The 19,492-nt window shown below is 47.0% G+C and overlaps 1 protein-coding gene across 4 annotated transcripts in view, besides 1 other annotated feature; it reads right to left on the reverse strand.

Annotated features, from left to right (window-relative positions):
* Nucleotides 1-886: an enhancer, noted in NCBI's record as "H3K4me1 hESC enhancer chr19:33366062-33366947 (GRCh37/hg19 assembly coordinates)". NCBI's record gives its function as "activates a minimal SCP1, AML or CMV promoter by ChIP-STARR-seq in primed H9 embryonic stem cells {active_cell/tissue: H9 hESC(primed)}" and the evidence as "EXISTENCE:reporter gene assay evidence [ECO:0000049][PMID:30033119]".
* CEP89 (centrosomal protein 89) overlaps nucleotides 770-19,492 on the reverse strand; it is a 96,034-nt gene continuing 77,311 nt past the window's right edge. For 3 of the 4 annotated variants that reach the window (XM_005259344.4, NM_032816.5, XM_047439562.1), the window contains 3 exons: nucleotides 12,597-12,686; nucleotides 6,689-6,858; nucleotides 770-4,223 (listed from right to left, as the gene is read on the reverse strand). In XM_005259344.4, coding sequence (XP_005259401.1) covers nucleotides 4,007-4,223; nucleotides 6,689-6,858; nucleotides 12,597-12,686 — 477 coding nt within the window. In that variant the 3' untranslated portion in view covers nucleotides 770-4,006. Of the gene's footprint in view, nucleotides 4,224-6,688; nucleotides 6,859-12,596; nucleotides 12,687-17,127; nucleotides 17,515-19,492 lie in introns of those variants that run through there. The other variant, XM_017027398.2, reaches the window with a different exon arrangement.

Consider the following 19,492-nt stretch of genomic DNA (forward strand, 5'->3'; position numbering starts at 1 on the left):
ACACACCCTGTAATCCCAGCTATTCGGGGGGCTGAGGTGGGAGAATTGCTTGAACCTAGGAGGTGGAGGTTGCAGTGAGCCGAGATCGCACCACTGCACTCCAGCCTGGGTGACAGAGCGAGACTGTCTCAACTAAAAAAAAAAAAAAAGCCAAGCCTGGGAGGCTGGAAGGGCAGCAGGTTTCCTGCCCAGCTTTGGGGCCATGGACTCACACCTTGAGAAAACCAAGAGAGGCCTAACAAGCTGTACCCATCCCCTCTCCCACTCCTGGCTGCAGCCACTCCTTACCTGTGGACCCCTGCCCAGCTGTGACCCAGCAGAGAGGTGCCACAAACCTGGGCACACTGAGCCCTCCCCATGCCGCCCAGCCAAGTTTTGAGTGGATGATGTTTCCAGTCTTACTCAAGAATTCAGATGTCAGCCCAGCCCCATCCCAAGAGGCTCAGCCTCCTGCTGTGGGATCTGTATCCGGCTCAAGCCCTCCCTGCTGGAAGAGCTGCTTGGGCCCAGGGAGGGCTCTCCTGAGCCACCCACACTGGGGACTGTGCCTTTCATTCCCGCCAACGATACAGGTAGGGGAGGGGGTGAGGAGCCAGTGACAGCTGCGCTCGAGGCTAAATGCTAGGCCACCCTCGGCCTTAAATCTCTGTCCTCTCAACACAGTTATTGACAACACCACCAAGCATTGATGAGGATGCGGAGCAACCGGAACTTGCGCGGAGGTTGGTGGTGGGAAAGTAAAATGACACAAACACTCAGGAAGCAGGCCTGGGTGTTATTTCTTTTTTAATTGTCTATATAACAAAATCCACTGTTGTCACTGTTTTCCAGCATACAGTTCAGTGGCGTTAAGGGCATTCAGGACAGCTCTCATGACAGACTCACACCCACATGCACACCTGGTGCCCCAGCCTGCTTTGTCCACTGTCTCCATTTCCCCAGGGCTGCTTTTACTTTTTATTGTATTATTTTTGAGGCAGGGTCTCACCTGGTTGCCCAGGCTGGAGTGCAGTGGCATGATCATAGCTCACTGCAGCCTCAACCTCCCAGGCTCAAGTGATCCTCCCACCTCAGCCTCCTGAGTAGCTGAAACCATAGGCGCCATCACCATGCCCAGGGCTGCTTTTAAATAATGGCAAAGCCAGCAAGGCTCACTCGCGTGCCTGGGTCATGTTCTACAGCTGCTTGACCAGGAATCTTCCAATGCCGTATGAAACCTCACCAGGACCAAGAAAGAGAAGGGTTCCCTGCTCAGACCAGACACTTGCAGCATGGGGAAGGAGGAGCCCCTCCCAGCAGACCCAGTTCTCCTCTGTGCAGTCCGGCCTCATTTCCCACCCAAGCTCTGACCAAACCCCCTCCTGCTGCTCTGAGTGCCTGCTGTGCTCCTGGGGGCCCTCTCCACCCTTCTGTAGCTCCTGAAACCTTGTCCACTCTGCAAGGGCCGGGGCGTGCCAGTTCCTCCCAGAAGCACCCCAATGTTTCTGTCCTTTCCTGGAATCTCACAAGCACCCAGGTGCCTCTCTGCCTTGCCTGCCCCGCCCTCCTTGGCATCCTGGACTCGTGGCTTCTCTGCCCATTTCCTATGGCACCCAGCAGGAGGCTGGGCAGAAGATAGTGTCTGTGGGACACCTGCCCTTGCCCTGGTCACAGTGCCATCCAGGAGTCCCCATACTTGCAAAGTATGTTTGCACTGTGTGAAAAACTTAAAGCAGAAACATAAGAACAAAAGTGGACACTTCTCAAAAGAATAAAATGTTTGCATAAAAGGCAGAAAGACAGGGATGTCAACAGTGGTTCTCTAGGTCACGATGGCGGGAGCAGCATTCCTGCTGACAAGCACTCCTGCCCCGCGCAGCCACGCTGGGCTGCCGCCGCCTGTCAGCCTGTCTACAGGAGGCTGCAGAGCGGCCGTAAATGCCTTTGAAATAGCATCACAGTTATTTGTTAGGTCATCTCCTAGGGAGATGATACACAGTTTTCAATCCCAGTGAGTCTTTCTACCGCTTGTAAAATAAAATTAAATTACAATGATTCAACTGTTGAACAAGCTTATAGAGTCATAAAAGAACTATGATTTTCTATCTCACCCTTCCGTCTGGCAATCAAAGATCACACGTAGAACTTCTACACATGACCAAGGACCAGTACTGGGGCCTCCTTCCCACCTGAAACAAGGCAGGACTTCACTGCGAGGGGCTCTGAAAAGGAGATGCTGCAGGGTGCCACCCCTGAGTCCCACAGTTAGGGTCCTTTGTAGCCCAATGTCCCCAAGTCCCTCCAGCATGCCTGGGACTGAATGGTCCTGAGCGGCTGGGGTAATTTTCCTGAGGAGGTGGCACGTCATCTAACACACATGGGACAGAACCATGGCCCCCTGGTATGCTTCTTGGTGGTGGCAGTGGGGCAGGGACTCTATCTTAGCTCAAAGCCAGGGCTCTCATTACATGGGTGGGGAGCTGTGTGGCTCCAGAATCAATTACCTTCCCAGACCAGGCGCGGTGGCTCATACCTATAATCCCAACACTTTGGGAGGCCTAGGCAGGAGGATTGCTTGAAGCTAGACGTTTGAGACCAGCTTGGGCAACATAGCAAGACCCCATCTCTACCAAAAAAAAAATTTTTTTTTTTTGAGACAAAGTCTCGCTCTTGTTGCCCAGGCTGCCCAGGCTGGGGTATAATGGCGTGATCTTGGTTCACTGCAACCTCCGCCTTCCAGGTTCAAGCAATTCTCCTGCCTCAGCCTCCCAAGTAGCTGGGATTACAGGCACCCACCACCATGCCCAGCTAATTTTTGTATTTTTAGTAGAGATGGGGTTTCACCATGTTGGCCAGGCTGGTCTCGAACTCCTGGCCTCGGGTGATCCGCCTGCCTCGACCTCCCAAAGTGCTGGGATTACAGGAGTGAGCCACCATGGCTGGCCTACAAAAATTTTTTTTTTACAAAATTAGCCAGGCATGTTAGTGTATACCTGTCATCTCACCTACTCAGGAGGCTGGGATGGGAGGATCGCTTGAGCCTGGAGGTCAAGGCTGTGGTGATTGCACCACTGCATTCCAGCCTGGGTAACAGAGTGAGACCCTGTCTCAAAACAAACAAACAAAAGTAACAACTAAACAAAAGAGAATAAAGTACTTGCTCAGGAGGATAGAGAAGGGCTAGGGGAGAGGGCAGAAAAGGTTTGTACAACTTAGAGGGCATGAACAGCAGCAGCACCTTGTTTTTTTTGACCAAACAAGAAAAGGCCCCCAGAGCTCACGCACAGCTATCATCAGGGCCGGTGCCATGGCCTGGCTCCTCGGGTGACACTTCCCCATCTGACACATGGCACGAGGGCTCAGCTGCCCGCCCAACCCTTCCAGCACTTCCCAGCTGCAGATCTAGGAGCTGGAAGGCAGGCCTGCTCAGCAGGCCACCTACTCACCAGAGCAGTGGGTGTCATAGAACTCATCTCAGTGGCAATGTGGCCAGAGAACATGCCCTGGCTAAAACAGATTTCAGCAGCACGTTATTAAAATAAAGCACAATGGGCCAGGCGCAGTGGCTCACACGTGTCATTCCCGCACTTTGGGAGGCCAAGGCAGGAGGACAGATTGAGGCCAGGAGTTCAAGACCAGCCTGAGCAACATAGCAAGACCTCATCTCAACAAAAAAGAAAAAAATTAGCTGGGCCTGACAGTGCACACCTGAGGTCCCAGCTACTCAGGAGGCTGAAGCAGAAGGATCTCAAACATGTTTGAGGCTGCCGTGAGCTATGATTGCACCACTGTACTCCAGCATGGGCAACAGAGTGAGACCCTAGCTCTAAAAAAAAAAAAAAATTAAAAAATAAAGCAAAATGTTATCAATGGATTAAACTATGAGACCATTTATTTCTTCCCTGCCCTGCAGCGTTCAGTGGGCTTACGCACCTCCGGCTGCCACCATGGGCTGCCCTGCAGGGAAGGCCTGTGTGAGGCAGACCTTTCAGGCCAGAGGAGGCTACACCACGGGCTCCCGCAGATTCTAGCAGGTGGGGGCATGAGACTTCAGGTCATAGGAGCAGACATCGCAGCCGTCCAGCAGGTCTGCCTGAGAGACGCCATTGAGGCTGGGGGCAACCAGAGCTCTGGGGTTGTCCTGCACGCCTGTCCTCGTGAGTGTGTCCTGGAGAAGTTCTCGGATTCTTCGGTTTTCCCTGAAGGTAGATTCCCAAATAACTTCAAGTTCACCTTCCATTTCTCTGAGGGAAATAAGTTTAAAATGGCACAATTTTAAAAATAATATAGAGCCCATATGAATCCCAAAGTAGCAAGAACTCAAAACAGAAGAACGCTATCAGCAGGGAACAGAGCCCTCGGTGCCTGGGTTCTGAAGCAAGCGCTCAGTGTGGAATGAAGCAGCTGGTGCCCTGGGAATGGGGAGCAGCAGGACAGCCCAGGCTGGGGCTCAGTGTGGAATGAAGCGGCCAGTGCCCTGGGAATGGGGAGCAGCAGGACGGCACAGGCATTTCTCTTCCCTCTATGTTCTGCCCTTGACTTTGGCGCCAGTGCAATCCCTGTTTTCTCTCAAGAATGAACTTGGGCGTGTCGAATAAGGAACTGCAGGAACTGCAGGGCTGGCCTTGGCCAGCCAGACGCTCTAGCACGATGGCCTGGCCACAGGCACCCACACAGCCCCTCCTGTGTCCCGTCTGCTTGTCCACTGTGACCTGGCCAGCACTCAGTGACCTTCCACAGGTCTTCCGCTCCATACAGCCCAGAGCTAAGAGCGAGTCAGGGGGTGAGGTGGGGGACCTGAGGAGATAAGACTCATTGCCAAGATGGAGAAGATTGGCCTGGCCCATGTGCCGGGATGGGGAGGCCCTGAGGGGCCGAGGCATGTGAGGTTGGAAAGAGCCACAGGGCAGCGTTTCCAGAACCAGGATGCAGTGCCCTGTGGTGTGCTGGGGAGACAGGACAGATGAAGGTGGCCACATCCTCACAGGGCCACAGTCCACTGGGAATAGACCAGGACACGAGCCACACCTCACAAGGTGCTTAGCCCCATCGGGGAGCATGGCCAGGCTGGAGAGGCCAGCTCCTTCCCGGACACTGCCAGATGGTTCTGGAAAATGTTGGAAACTGGATTTGCAGGTGGACTTCGCACCACGGTTTAAAGAGCAGGACACTGAAGTTCAGGGAGGCCAGTGATGTGCCCACTTGGCCAGAGTCACTTTTCTTGTGAACGTTCCTTCCTTCCAAGGCCCCTGATGCCCACTGTGTGGTAAGAACAACTTAATTAAACTATGTCTAAAAAAGCCCCAGCCTGGGCAACATGTGAGACCTCATCTCTACAAAAAACTTAAAAATTAGCTGGGCCCACGTGGTGGCATGCACCTGTATTTCCAGCTACTCGGGAGGCTGAGGCAGAAGGATGACTTGAGCCCAGAAATTTGAGGCTGCAGTGAGCTGAGATTGTGCCACTGTACTTTAGCCCAGGCAACAGAGCAAGACCTTGTATTTAAAAAAAAAAAAAAAAAAAAAATTCCCCAGACTTTGGTTTTCTGAAGATATTTGGTAAATTATAGCAATCATGTTTAAATGTATGGCTGAACTCGAAAGAACAGGCAGTCTCTAAGGGCAGAAAAAATGAAGCCTAAACTGAAACCAAAGAGGCAGACAAAGTATCAGTTGCTTTGAGGACAAAAGTCAATGCCAAACCCTGGATGTTTGTAGACTGAGAGATCGTGCAGATCAAGAGTGACAGAAAATCTCAGGACCCACTCTTGTCCAAGTTTCTCTTCCTACTAGAGGCACTGTGAAGGTAGGTAAGTGGAGGATGTGAAGGACCCTCAAAGAAAGGAGGGGTGGGTGGGAGACCTGCAGATCTTCAAAGGAAACCTGTTCTGAAAGGCCAGGCATCACCTGGGGACTAGAGCCACCGGCCTGCTCTCAAATGGATCTGGAGTGAGTCTACACTGTTCCCCATGAGTGGGGATCCCCAGGCCCTGACTGCAGTGAATGAAGAGTTTAAAAAAGTTGGGCACAGTGGCTCATGCTTGTAATCCCTGCTACTTGGGAAGCTAAGGCAGGAGGATGGCTTGAGCCCAGGAGTTTGAGGCTGCAGTAAGCTATGATCACACCACTGCACTCCAGCCTGGGCAACAGAGCCAGACCCTGTCTATAAGTAGTAATAATAATAATAATAATAGAAATAACAGAAATAAAATACCTAATCAAAAATTAATAAAATCTCTCAAGAAAATGAAACAAAACTGGCTCATGCCTATAATCCCAGCTATACTCAGGAGGCTGAGGTGGGAGAACCGCTTGAATCCGGGAGGCGGAGGTTGCAGTGAGCCGAGATCGTGCCACTGCACTCCAGCCTGGGAGACAGAGTGAGATGCTGTCTCAAAAAATAAAATAAAAAGAAAATGAGACAAAATAAAAATATCAGTGAGATGGAAGGCAGCAGAAAAAAAGAGAAAGGCAATTAGAGGTGTGCATTGATTCCGGAAGTCCAGTTCAAACAAGAGGAATTTTTAAAAGAATAAAGAAGATGAGGAGCAAATAAAACTTGAGACCAATATTACATTCAGATCAGAGTAAAATGTAGAAACAAAATTAAACAATGGAACAAATAAAACAGGCCCAGAGGGTTTTAGCAGAACCCTCAATCAGACATTCAGACATCTCTGCGGGCCATGGCGCAGGGCGCATGCCCCACCTGTTCTGCTGCAGCGCCTGGTCCAGCACCTCCTGCTTGTCCTTCAGCACCTGGTGCAGGTGCCGCATCTCCTGCCGGTACTGGGCTGTCTTGCCGGCGAAGTCCTCCTGCTGCTCCAGCAGACGGTGACTGATGTCCCCCAGCTTCAGTGCTGCCTGCTTCTTGTAGCCCTGGTCGGGGGAAGGACTCTGTGAATGAGGGGACGCTGCCAGGCCAGGGTGGACAGTGCCTCCTGGCTGTGCTCCCTACCCACTCCTTGTGTGTCAGAGCCTTTAAAATCTAGCAACCCCGGATAAGTTTGGTCTGGGATTGCAAGTCTGGATCATAAAAGTCATAAAAAGTGACAAAAGAATTTCAGGTACAATAAAACCAAATTTTAATGTATATAAAGCCTAGTTCTTTATATGCTATAAATAAATGAAAACATAAAATATCACCATTGGAAACAGCAGTTCATGCTTCTAATTTCAGCACTATTACAGGCTGAGGCAGGCGGATCACTTGAGGTCAGGAGTTCAAGACCAGCCTGGCCAACATGGTGAAACCCTGTCTCTATTAAAAATACAAAAATTAGCCAGGCGTTGTAGTGCATGCCTGTAGTCCCAGCTACTTGTGAGGCAGAGGTGGGAGGATAACTTGAACCTAGGAGGCGGAGGCTGCAGTGAGTGTGATCACGCCACTGCACTCTAGCCTGGGTGACACAGTGAGACCCTGTCTCAAAAAAAAAAAAAAAAAATTACCATCACAGAACAAACTGGATGTTCTTGCAAATTAATCTACAACTGTATTTTTTCCAGGACAACTCTTATCCCTGCATCAACTGGTAACCTAAGAACTAATGCTGCCACTGGTCAGCACTGTTTCACCTTGACAAGACAGCCTCATTGAAGAATCCAACAAGGGCTGTCACTCTCTGTCACCAAACAGACAGCTGAGATGAAAGCCCGCTATTTACTTTCCTTCTTTCGTTTTTACTGTATAGTACTGAAGGTTCTGAATTTTCCTGTGAGCATTTTTTTTCTTTTTTTTTGAGACGGCAGAGTCTTGCTCTGTGGCCCAGGCTGGAGTGCAGTGGCGCAATATCAGCTCACTGCAAGCTCCGCCTCCCGGGTTCACATCATTCTCCTGCCTCAGCCTCCTCAGTAGCTGGGATTACAGGTGCCCACCACCACACCTGGTTAATTTTTTTGTATTTTTTTTAATAGAGATGGGGTTTCACCATGTTAGCCAGGATGGTCTCAATCTCCTGACCTCGCGATCCGCCTGCCTCGGCCTCCCAAAGTGCTGGGATTACAGGCGTGAGACACCGCGCCCGGCCGAGCATTTCTAAAATTATTGTCACAGAGAGTCTGACATGTAGTCCCACAGACTCATTTTTTTATAAGAAGCTCTGACACTCAGTTTATACATTCTCTCTGACCCAAGAATTGTTTAGTGCACAGTTTTTACACTTCCAAGTGAAATAACTTTTTGTTTTTTGATTTTGCTTATTAATTTCTGTTTTTAATATTTGTGACCAACAAATGCTGGCCGGGTGCGGTGGCTCACGCCTGTAATCCCAGCACTTTGGAAAGTTGAGGCGGGCAGATCACCTGAGTTCAGGAGTTCGAGACCAGCCTGGTCAGGAGTTCCAGACCAGCCTGGCCAACATGGTGAAACCCTGTCTCTATTAAAAATACAAAAATCAGCTGGGCGTGGTGGCACATCTGTAATTCTAGCTACTGGGGAGGCTGAGGCAGGAGAATTGCTTGAACCTGGGAGGCAGAGGTTGCAGTGAGCCAAGATCACGCCACTGTACTCCAACCTGGGCGACAAAGTGAGACTCTGTCTAAAAACAAACAAACAAAAAACAAATGCCTACATTATTTCTACTTTAGGGATTTATTGAGGCTTTCTTTGTAGCCAAGCAATGATCAATTTTTGTGTCTTTTATATATATGTAAATATACCCTGTTGATTATGTTGTTAAATCTTCTATTTTCTTATTTTGTTTAACATCTTGATCAGTCTTGGATTAAGAGAGGTGGATTATAGCTCCTATTACCAAGTTTCCATTTTTCTTTGTATTTCCTGTAGTCTACACTTCATAAATTTGCTGCTGTGTTATTTAGCGCATAGATACTCACAATTACTATAGATGATGATGTAGACAGGATCTCACTATGTTGCCCAGGCTGGAGTGCAGTGGCTGTTAACAGACCTGATCATTCTGCACTACAGCCTCGAACTCTCAGACTCAACTCAAGTGATCCTCCTGCTCAGCCTCCTCTACAGGGACCCACACACCCAGCTCATACTATATATTATTAACTGTAGTCTTTTAGTATTATAAAAATCTCCCCCTTTTTTTTGGTGTCATTTAGTGCTTTTGGTCTGAATTCTATCTTGGCATATGTTAAGATTTCGACCTTTACTTTCTTTGTGTTTGCAGAAATCTGGGTTATCTCTACCCATCCTTTCAATTTAAATCCTTCATGAATACTTTGTTTTAGGTTGGCTCTTGGGTCTAGTGTGGAATAGCATTTTGCTTTATGAGCCAATCCAAAAAATATTGTTTTCCCTAATAGGTGAATTAAGCTAATTTACATTTACCTATAGGACACATTTCTTTGGTCTCAATTTTGTTATTTTATGTTTGGTTGTTTTATGTACATATTTTTAAAAGATTTTAAACTAATATAGTCTTTTTCTTTGCTTTTTTGCTGTTATAATTCTACCATTTAAAAAAATTAAAACAATTTTTTTTAGAAACAGGATCCTGCTCCATGCTCTGTCCCTCAGGCTGGAGTGCAGTGGTGTGATCATAGCTCACTACAGCTTTAAACTCCTGGGCTCAAGATCCTCCTGCAGAGTTGGGAGTACAGGCGCTGGCTATCAAGCCCGGCTAATTTTAAACTTTTTTTTAGAGATGGGGTCTCTATGTTGCCCAGGCTGATCTTGAACTCCTGGTCTCAAGCGATCCTACTACTTCAGCCTCCTGAGGAGCTGGGATTATAGGCACGTGCCACTCTGCCCAGCTCTAATTCCACTATTTAGGAATAAAGCTCGATTCTTGTAGTTGGCTTTATTCTTACGCCTTTATATTACATGTTCTTAGTCCCCTGTTTTTAGATCGTATCCATTGGTTCCCTAACAAAAGTAACAATACATTAGCTCATGACAACGTTTTCTTCACTTTTCCCCTCCTTCTGTTCACCTGCTTAAGTATGCTTAAGCTCGTACCACTTGGTTTTTCAGCTTTAATGATATCCCTTGACTCTTATTACCTACGAAGAAATCAGCAAGTGCAATCTACTTTCTACCTTCCTTCCCCCTTTGCCCATCAGTTTCCTTGGTTGTATTATTACTACATTGTCAGAAAACATTTACATACAATTCTATCAGCCTTATTCCCGCTCTAAGTCTTATTTTACAGTTAAATATATTCTTCGCTCACTACAAGTTAATTTTGCCGAAGTTTCCCCAATTAACTCTTGGTTGGCAGGACTCATTGTTGAGACAGGGTCTTGCTCTGTTGCCCAGGCTAGAGTGCAGAGGCACGAACATAGCTCACTGCAGCCTCAAACTCCTGGGCTCAATCAATCCTCCCACCTCAGCCTCCCGAGTAGCTGGGACTACAGGCATGTGCCACCAAGCCTGGCTAATTGCTGTATTTTTTGTAGAGACTGGGGTCTCCCTATGTTGCCCAGGCTGGTCTCAGACTCCTGGGCTCAAGTGATCTGCCTGCCTTGGCCTCCCAAAGTGCTTGGATTACAGGCATGAGTCACTGTGCCTGGCCATTTTCTTTATCTTAAAGTCGTATGTCTTGGTGTCAATTTTCTGGGTCCATTCTGTGTCAGTTTTCCCTAGGTACATAATGTGCCCTTTCAGGACATAGATTCAAGTCTTCTTTTATTTCAGAAAGGTTTTTATGAGTTACAGTTTAGAGCAGAATAAGCCACTGTTTTGGTTTCTTCTTTGGAGGCTCTAGAAGTCAGTCTCTTAGATCTCCATCACTGTCCACCGAATCCTTTGCACATCTCCATTTCCACTTTCCTGTCTGTCTTTCTCGGTTCTAGCTGCATATCCCTTATTGCGCTGTTATGACATCTGTCTCCATAGAATTCAGACTGCATTTCTTAAACCGCTTCTCTGTCCCTTCTATTTCTTCCCTGGGTCATGTCAGTTCCCTCCCACACCCTCCTAGGCCTTGCTGCCTCTTCCTGAGGTCCTGTGTCTGCTCTGTGACATTTCTTCCTGGCTCTGACTGCCTCCTGAAGTCCTGTCTCTCCAGCTATCTCCAGCTCTCTAGCCAGCTACCTAGTGGTTCACTTTGGAGTATAGTTTTGATCTCCTTTGCGGCAACACTTTTCCTGGTAAGTTTTCAGCAGTTTCCGTCAGTAGGAACTTATGCTTCTATTTTTCTTCCTTTTCCTTAAACTGCTTTTATATGAAGGCCTCTGAATTCCTCTGGAATGAGAGGAGGTTCCTGGGAGGGTGGGAGCGACAGTTGGGCCAGAGTGTCCTTCCAGACTTCCCATGTTCCCACCACCCTCCACCTCGCAGCCCCATCTCCCACTCTCTGAATTCAGCCTGGTTTGGAGGGGCTTCTGCCTGCATCCCTCAGTTCCCAGATCTCGTCACAGCCCCGGATTTCCAAGGTGATGTCCTCCCTTTGAAGAGTGATATTTTGCAGGGATTTCCTGAAATGTCACCTCTGATTTCTCAAGCCTTTTCTCTTCATTCCCCCCGAGGCCCTGGCCTGTCTACCTTGGGGCCTGCTCACAGGTGTCTCCTCCGGGTGAGCCGGTTTTACTATTCCTGTTCAGATAAATGGTAACGCTATGGATTCCCCAAGCAAGGCCAACTACTCCGAGGATCACTCCTTCTCTTTTGGAAGTAAAAAGCAGGAAAATTAGAAAAAAAGAAAGAAAGAGAGAAAAGAAAAACCCCACAGGGGGATTTTAAATTACTCAATACTTCCATGCCGAGTCCCCTCATAAACAGCATGGCATAGCCCCTTCCCTTTCAGCCTTTCTTTTTTTTTTTTTCTTAAAGAGACAGGGTCCCTGCCAGGTGAGGTGGCTCATGTCTGTAATCCCAGCACTTTGGGAGGGCCGAGTCAGGCAGATCACTTGAGCTCAGAAGTTCAAGACCACCCTGGGCAACATAGCAAGACCTCATCTCTAAACAAAAAAAAAAAATACAAAAAAAAAAAAATAGCCAGACACCATGGTGCTTGCCTGTAGTCCCAGCTACTTGGGAGGCTGAGGCAGGAGGATCCACTGAGCCCGGGAGTTCGAGGCTGCAGTGAGCCATTGTCATGTCACTGCACTCCAGCCTGGATGACAGAGTGAGATCCTGTCTCTCCTTTTATTGGTGTTTTGTTTTGTTTTGGTTTTGGTTTTTTTTTGAGACAGGGTCTCACTCTGTCACCCAGGCTGGAGTACAGTGGTGTGACCTCGGCTCACCACAGCCTTGAACTCCTGGGCTCAATGGAGCCTCCCCCATCAGCCTCGAGAGAAGCTGAGACTACAGGCAAGCACCACCATGCCTGGCTAACTTTTTAAATTTTTTGTAGAGATTGGGGTCTTGCTATGTTACCAGACTGGTCTCAAACTCTCGACCTCAAGCGATCCTCCTGGCTGGGCCTCCTGAGTCACTGAGATTACAGCGTGAGCCACTGTGCCTTGCTTCATATCCTTTTTTCTTAAACAGCTATGCAGTATTTTATTGTGTGAATGAACCAAAGTTTATTGAATGAGGTGAGAGGTGCTATTCTGCCAGCAAAACCTTACAATACTTTTACTCTGTGGACTATTAGTGATGCACATGCAAAAGGTGTCATTTTCTTAAACACAAAAATCCACAGCAGTGAGCCTGCATTCCCATCTGAAAATGAAATCTCTGAGGCCAAATAACCACTTACCTTGACTTTTTCCTCTAACTTTCCCAGGCGAATGTTGCTTTTTATGACTTTATTAAGCACTCCATCCTTCTCACTTTCTAAACATTTTGCCTAGGGAGAAGGGTGATAAATGGGCTCTCAGTTTTACAGAAAAATTGAAATAACAAACAATTATTTTGCAAAGAGTGTTACTGCTACTGCTCACAATCTTCATTCTGCAACCTGTCCTGCCTCAACCCCTTCCCCACCCACTGTGTGAGGGCCTGGGCCTCAGGCCAACAGTTGAGGATGGGCAGGAACAGGGCATGTGGGGTGCCCTGCTCGACACAAAGAGAAGAATTCCAGCCCCACAGACCAGGGGAACGGGAGAGGCTGCAAAGGTTTCCAGAATGCATCTCTACTCTTATGGAATCTATCTTTCCTTCAATCGCATCCAAGGAATAAGTGCCAAGAGGCCAATCAACTCATAACTTGACTCATTTGAACAATTTCAAAATTAAGGATAACATAATATGAATGCACAATGCCGTTTCTCCAAGCCATACATGAAAGGCAATACATCCAGCAGAGATGACATCATTTGAAGTCGAATGATTTAAACTAATATCCAGGTTGGACGTGACCTGCTACATTCTATAAATTAACTATTTCAGATGCTAAAATAAAATAAGTAATGGTGAGCATTCTTTCCAAGGTAGGCTAGTGGTGACAAGTTTGATTTTCCAGAAGGAAAGCTAAGTCACAGAGAAATTGCTCCAGGTCACATGGAAAATCCACCCTAGAAGCAGGATTTAAAAAGATCTCAGGCCAGGCTTGGTGGTGTGCACCTGTAGTCTCAGCTACTCAAGAGGCTGAGGCACGAGAATGGCTTGAACCCAGGAGGCGGAGGTTGCAGGGAGCTGAGATCGCGCCACCGCACTCCAGCCTGGGCAACATAGCGAGATTCTGTCTCAAAAAAAAAAAAAGATCTCAGTACCTAAGACTATTGTGTCTCCCACAAAAATGTAATAAATGCAAGATGGTGCAGTCATACTTGGGGAAACTGAAAGTGATTTTTGTTTTTTCTTTTTGTTTTATTTATTTATTTATTTATTTTTGAGACAAAGTCTCGCTCTGTCACCCAGGCTGGAGTGCAGTGGTGCGATCTCAGCTCACTGCAACCTCCACCTCCTGGGCTCAAGAGATTCTCCTGCCTCAACCTCCTGGGTAGCTAGGACTACAGGCACGCGCCACCATGCCCAGCTAATTTGGGGAAACCGAAAGTGATTTGTAGCCAGAGGTCATCAGCAGAAACTTCCCAAGGCAGAGTGGAGTCCTCCCACTGTTGGTGTATGTACAGGGTTGGGTAAGGGCTCTCACGAGCTCCTGGAGACCAGGATGGGGTAGGGCAGGAGTACGTGGCTCAGTCCTAGGACAGGGCAGAGACTGGCAGAGCAGCCACTAACACCCCTGGACCTGGCTAGAGGGGCTGGCCTAGGCACTCCCAGGGTCAAGGGGCCTGCAAGGCTGTAGGGATGTGTCCACTCCAGACCTGGCTACAGAGGACCAAGAGCCCTGCCCAGACATCCTGGCAGCTCCCATGCCTCTCCCTGCATGGATAGCGGGTGTCTGCTTGGACACAAAAGTCCCTGGTGACAGGTGGAGCCAGGATGGAAGAAAGCAGCTCTCCCACACCCTACATTTCCGCTTTGACTCTGAGGGGCCTGAGGATTCTAAACTTGACAGCCAGGCCATGATAAAGGTCAAGGCAGGAGAAGGGAACACATTTTACTAACAGTTTGTTGGCTCAACAAGTAACTTTTAAATATCTGGAGACAGTCAGTGGCCTCCATTTGTATTTCCATCCTGGGCCCACAAATATTGGGGGTGGGCCGAGAGGAGAGTGTCTGAGGGTCTGGGAGGATCCTGACTTCGTTGTGGAAGCCTGTGATACTCCCTGGCCCATGGGAGAGGCATGGGGCCTGCACCCCAGGGACCGGGATTCCCTGCACGTCCTGCCCTACAAACAAGACGGCTTTGCGTTTACAGTGGCCTCAACATGTGGCGGGCAGGTTCCCAGGAAATCTCTGGATGAAAGGGTTTGTTCGGCCCTTTAGATTTTTCAGCAAGCTTTCTCTTGCCCTCTCCATGTCCCGGTGAGGAAGGCCAGCACACACAGCAGCAGAAGGGAAAATGGGCACTTAATGCTACCACAGAGAGTGCCAGGGTTCAGCTGCCTTTCAGAGGGGCAGCGCTGGGCCAGACACTTGAGTGCCTTCAAGGCTCCATCCATGCTGTGTCAAAGTCAAATTGCTTTCTGGAAGGCTCTGGAAAGGACTCAGAAGTCACCAGTAAAGTATGGCCAGACTGACCACACTCTTATCAGCAATTATTGTAATTTAAAAAACTGTTTTCAGCCGGGCACGGTGGTTCACGCCTGTAATCCCAGCACTTTGGGAGGCTGAGGTGCACAAAGTCAGGAGATCGAGACCATCCTGGCTAACATGGTGAAATCCCGTCTCTACCTAAACTACAAAAAAATTAGCCAGGTGTGGTGGCATGCGCCTATAGTCCCAGCTACTCAGGAGGCTGAGGCAGGAGAATCACTTGAACCCAGGAGGCGGAGGTTGCAGTGAGCCAAGATTGTGCCACTGCACTTCAGCCTGGGTGACACAGCGAGACTCCATCTCAAAAACCAAACAAACAAACAAACAAAAACCTGTTTTCAGGAGGAAGGCTCAGGGTGGCTGGCTGGAGGCACAGGATGTCAGACTCCTCCACACAGGAGAACCAAAACAGGAGTCAGTCATCGCACGGAGAACATCTAACGGAGACCACGGGAACTCGACAGGGGAGGGCTGGGCGGCACCCGCGCAATGAAGGAGAGGGAGACGACAGCCCAGACAGGATGGGTCTTGGTCGGGAGCCTGGAGAGGCTCCCCTGTGTCGGGAAAGGGTGAGAGATCCCCAGGGGTCCACATTCTCACCACACACTCCTGTGATCCCAGCCCCAGGGGAGCCCCTCAACCCCTGCAGGCCCTGAGACTGGTGCAGGGAGCTCCCTGGAGTCTGTGTGACCCCACTGCTCCAGAGCGGGGGCTCACGCTGGGTCCCACACTGACCCAGGTTCCAGGTAGCTGCAGCACAGTGGCATCATTTTGAGAGTCCAGCCCCCACCAGACTACATCCTGCCCTGGGACCCAGCAGCCCCTGCATCTCCACATCCCTGGAGCGCCACGGACATCTCCCCACATGCACCCGGAAGGCTGCAGCGGCGAGGCACCAGGTGGACCCAGTGGAGCAGCGGGTCCCCAGCACTCTACCCTACAGTGTCCTGCATACCCAGAAGAGTGTGGTGCAGTGCACTGAAGAGGCTGCCCATGAGAGCAAGGGAGCCGAAGCAAGTGCTCCCCAATCCTGAAACCTGCCTGGCTGGGGCCCCTGTCACTAACAGCAACCCCACCCCCTCCAGCCGCAGAGCCCTGCGCACGTGCATGTGCCCTGAAGACAGGCTTCCCCTGCCCAATGCCTCCATTGCCAAAGCAACCCAAGCACACCACCCAGGGCCTGGGGATCACCCCATCCTCTTCACCACAGCCTGCAGGGAGTGTCCCACCATGTTGGTTGCCCCAGGCACACACACAAACACACACACACACACACATACACCAATACAAAAAATTAGAATAAGTGACTGTTACACTTGATTTGCAGAAATCAATGAAAGGACATAATAAACATGACAAAGCAAGGCAATATGACACCTCCAAAGGAACATAATAATTCTCCAACAGCAGATTCCAACAACAACAAAAAGAAATTTATGAAATGCCTGAAAAAGAATTAAAAATAATGATATTAAAGAAGCTCAGTAAAATATAACAGAACACAAATAAACACTATAAAGAAATCAGAAAAACAATTCAGGATATGAATGAGGAATTCATCGAAGAGACAGATATAAAAAAGAACTAAACAGAAATCCTGGAACTGAAGAATTCAATGAATAAAATAAAAAATACAATTGAGAGCTTCAGTGATAGACTAGATCAAGCAGGAGAAAGAATTTCTTTTGCTTTTTAAATACTCAGTGAGATGAAAGAGAGAGAGAGAGAAAGAGAGAGAGAAACAGAGAGAGAGAGAGAAAAGGAGCAAAAGAAAGAGAGAAAAATTAAAAAAAAAAATGAAGCATGCCTTCTGGTGTTCCAAGGGGTGAAAAGAAGTTTAATGGCATAAAAAACCTACTCAACAAAATAAGTTGAAAACTTCCCAAGTCTAGCAAGAGATTTCGAAATCCAGATATAGGAAGCTCAGGTTCCCAAAAAGGTCTTCTCCCGACGACATTATAGTCAAACTGTCAGAAGTCAAATACAGAATTCTAAATATATATATATATATTTAGACATACATATATTTAGACATATATATTTAGACATATATATATTTAGACATACATATATTTAGACATATATATTTAGAATATATATTTAGACATATATATATATATATATATATATATATATATATATATATGTCTAGTTACATATAAGGAACTCTCATAAGACTAACAGCGTATTTCTTTCTTTTTTCTTTTTCCTTTTTTTTTCTTTTTGAGATGGAGTCTCACTCTGTTGCCCAGGCTGGAGTGCAGTGGCACTATCTCAGCTCACTGTAGCCTCTGCCTCCTGGGTTCAAGCAATTCTCTGGCCTTAGCCCCCAAAGTAGCTGGGATTACAGGCATGTGCACCACCACAACCAGCTAATTTTTGCATTTTTAGTGGAGATAGGGTTTCGCCATGTTGGCCGGGCTGGTCTTGAACTCCTGACCTCAGATGATCTGCCTGCCTCAGCCTCCCAAAGTGCTGGGATTACAGGTGTGAGCCACTGTGCCCAGCTAATAGTGTATTTCTCAGAAGAAACCTTACAGGCCAGGAGAGAATGAGACGATATATTCAAAGGGCTAAAAGAAAAAAAAAAAAAAAAAACCTGTCAGCCAGCCAAGAATACTATACCCAGCAAAGTTATCCTTCATAAATGAAGGAGTAAAGACTTACAGATAAGCAAACACTGAGAGAATCTGTCACCACTAGACCCATCCTACATGAAATGCTTAAGGGAATCCTACACCTGGAATTGAAAGGACGATATCTACTATCATGAAAACACATGAAATGATAAAACTAACTAGTAGAGCAAGCACACAAATGAGGAAGAGAAGGAACTCAAATGTTATCACTATAGAATAATAAGATAAATAAGAGGAAAAATGATACACAAAACAACCAGAAAACAATCAACAAAATGATAGGAGTAAGTCCTCGCATATCAATAGTAACCTTGAATGTAAATTAATTAAATTTTCCACTTAAAAGATACAGACTGGCTGAATGGATATCAGAAAAAAAAAACACGATTCAACTATGTGCTGCCTACAAGAAACACATTTCACTTGTAAAGATCCATACAGACTGAAAGTAAAGGGATAAAAAAATATTCCATGCAACTGGAAACCAAAAGCAAGCAGGAGTAGCTATACTTGCATGAAATAAAACAAACTTTAAGTCAAAAACTGCGTAAAGAAGGTAATATTATAATAATAAAGGGATAAATTCAATAAGAGGACATATACTCTAAACATATATGCACCCAACACCACAGCATCCAGGTATATAAAGCAAATATTATTAGATCTAAAAGGGGAGATAGACTACAATACAATAATAGTTGGGGACTTCAACACCCTACTCTCAGCAATCAGATCATCAAGACAGAAAACTAACAAAGAAACATTGAATTTAACTGCACTTTAGACAAAATGACCTAATAGACATTTACAAAACATTTCATCCAGTAACGGCAGAATACACATTCTTATCAGATATAGAACATTGTCTAGCATACACTGTGTGTTACGCTACAAAGCAAGCTCAACAAATTTAAAAATACTGACATCATGTCAAGTATCTTCTCAGACCATGGTAGACTAAAACTAGAAAGCAATAACAAGAGGAACTTTGGAAACTGTACAAACATATGAAAATTAAACAACATGTTCCTTAACAATGATTGGGTCAATGAAGAAATTAAGAAGGGTATCAAAAATTTCTTGAAACAAATGAAAACTGAAACACAACATACCAAACACAACATACCAAAACCTATGGGATACAGCAAAAGCAATGCTAAGAGGGAAGTTTATAGCAATAAATGCCTGCATCACAAAAGTGGAAAGATTTCAAATAAACAACCTAATGATGTACCTCAAGGAACTAGATAAACAAGAACAAACAGAACCCAAAATTAGTAGAAAGAAAGAAAAAACAAAGATCAGAGCAGAACTAAGTGAGGCAGGGTGAAACGTTCTTATAGTCCCAGTGACGCAGGAGGCAGGAGGATTGCTTGAATCCAGATGTTCAAGGTTAGCCTGGGCAACATAGTGAAAATCCACTGCTAACAAACTGAAAACCTAGAGAAAATGGATACATTTCTGGACAACATACAACCTACAGAGGCAGGATAAGTAAAGTTATGAGACCATACTGACTTGTCCCCTTTAGTGAAGCCCCACATGCTCCTTTCTCAGTGGGCTCCTTTCATGTGCGCCCTTGTATGTCAGCACCTAACTTATCTTAGCAAGATAAGTAGTCCCACAGGATCCCAGCCAACTACCAGGTGGTTACACGTTCCTGATACCCAATATGGCCTAGGAAAAAGAACAAAAATCCCTTAATCGTAATGTAGCTTCCCCAATCTCCAGCCAATCAACACCAAAAGCCCAAGAAGCTATTAACTACCAATTCCTGCCTGGGCAGGGCTAAAGATATCTCCAGGGTCCTGCATGTACAGCTAGGCACAAGGTTTAGCTTACAGTGAGCTTTTCCTCATTTTAATAGTAAAAAACACACCCTAGGTGGAGGTTTTATATGCTAATTATACAT

This window comes from Homo sapiens, chromosome 19 (assembly GCF_000001405.40).
Source record: "Homo sapiens chromosome 19, GRCh38.p14 Primary Assembly".
Classification (NCBI taxonomy): Eukaryota; Metazoa; Chordata; class Mammalia; order Primates; family Hominidae; genus Homo; species Homo sapiens.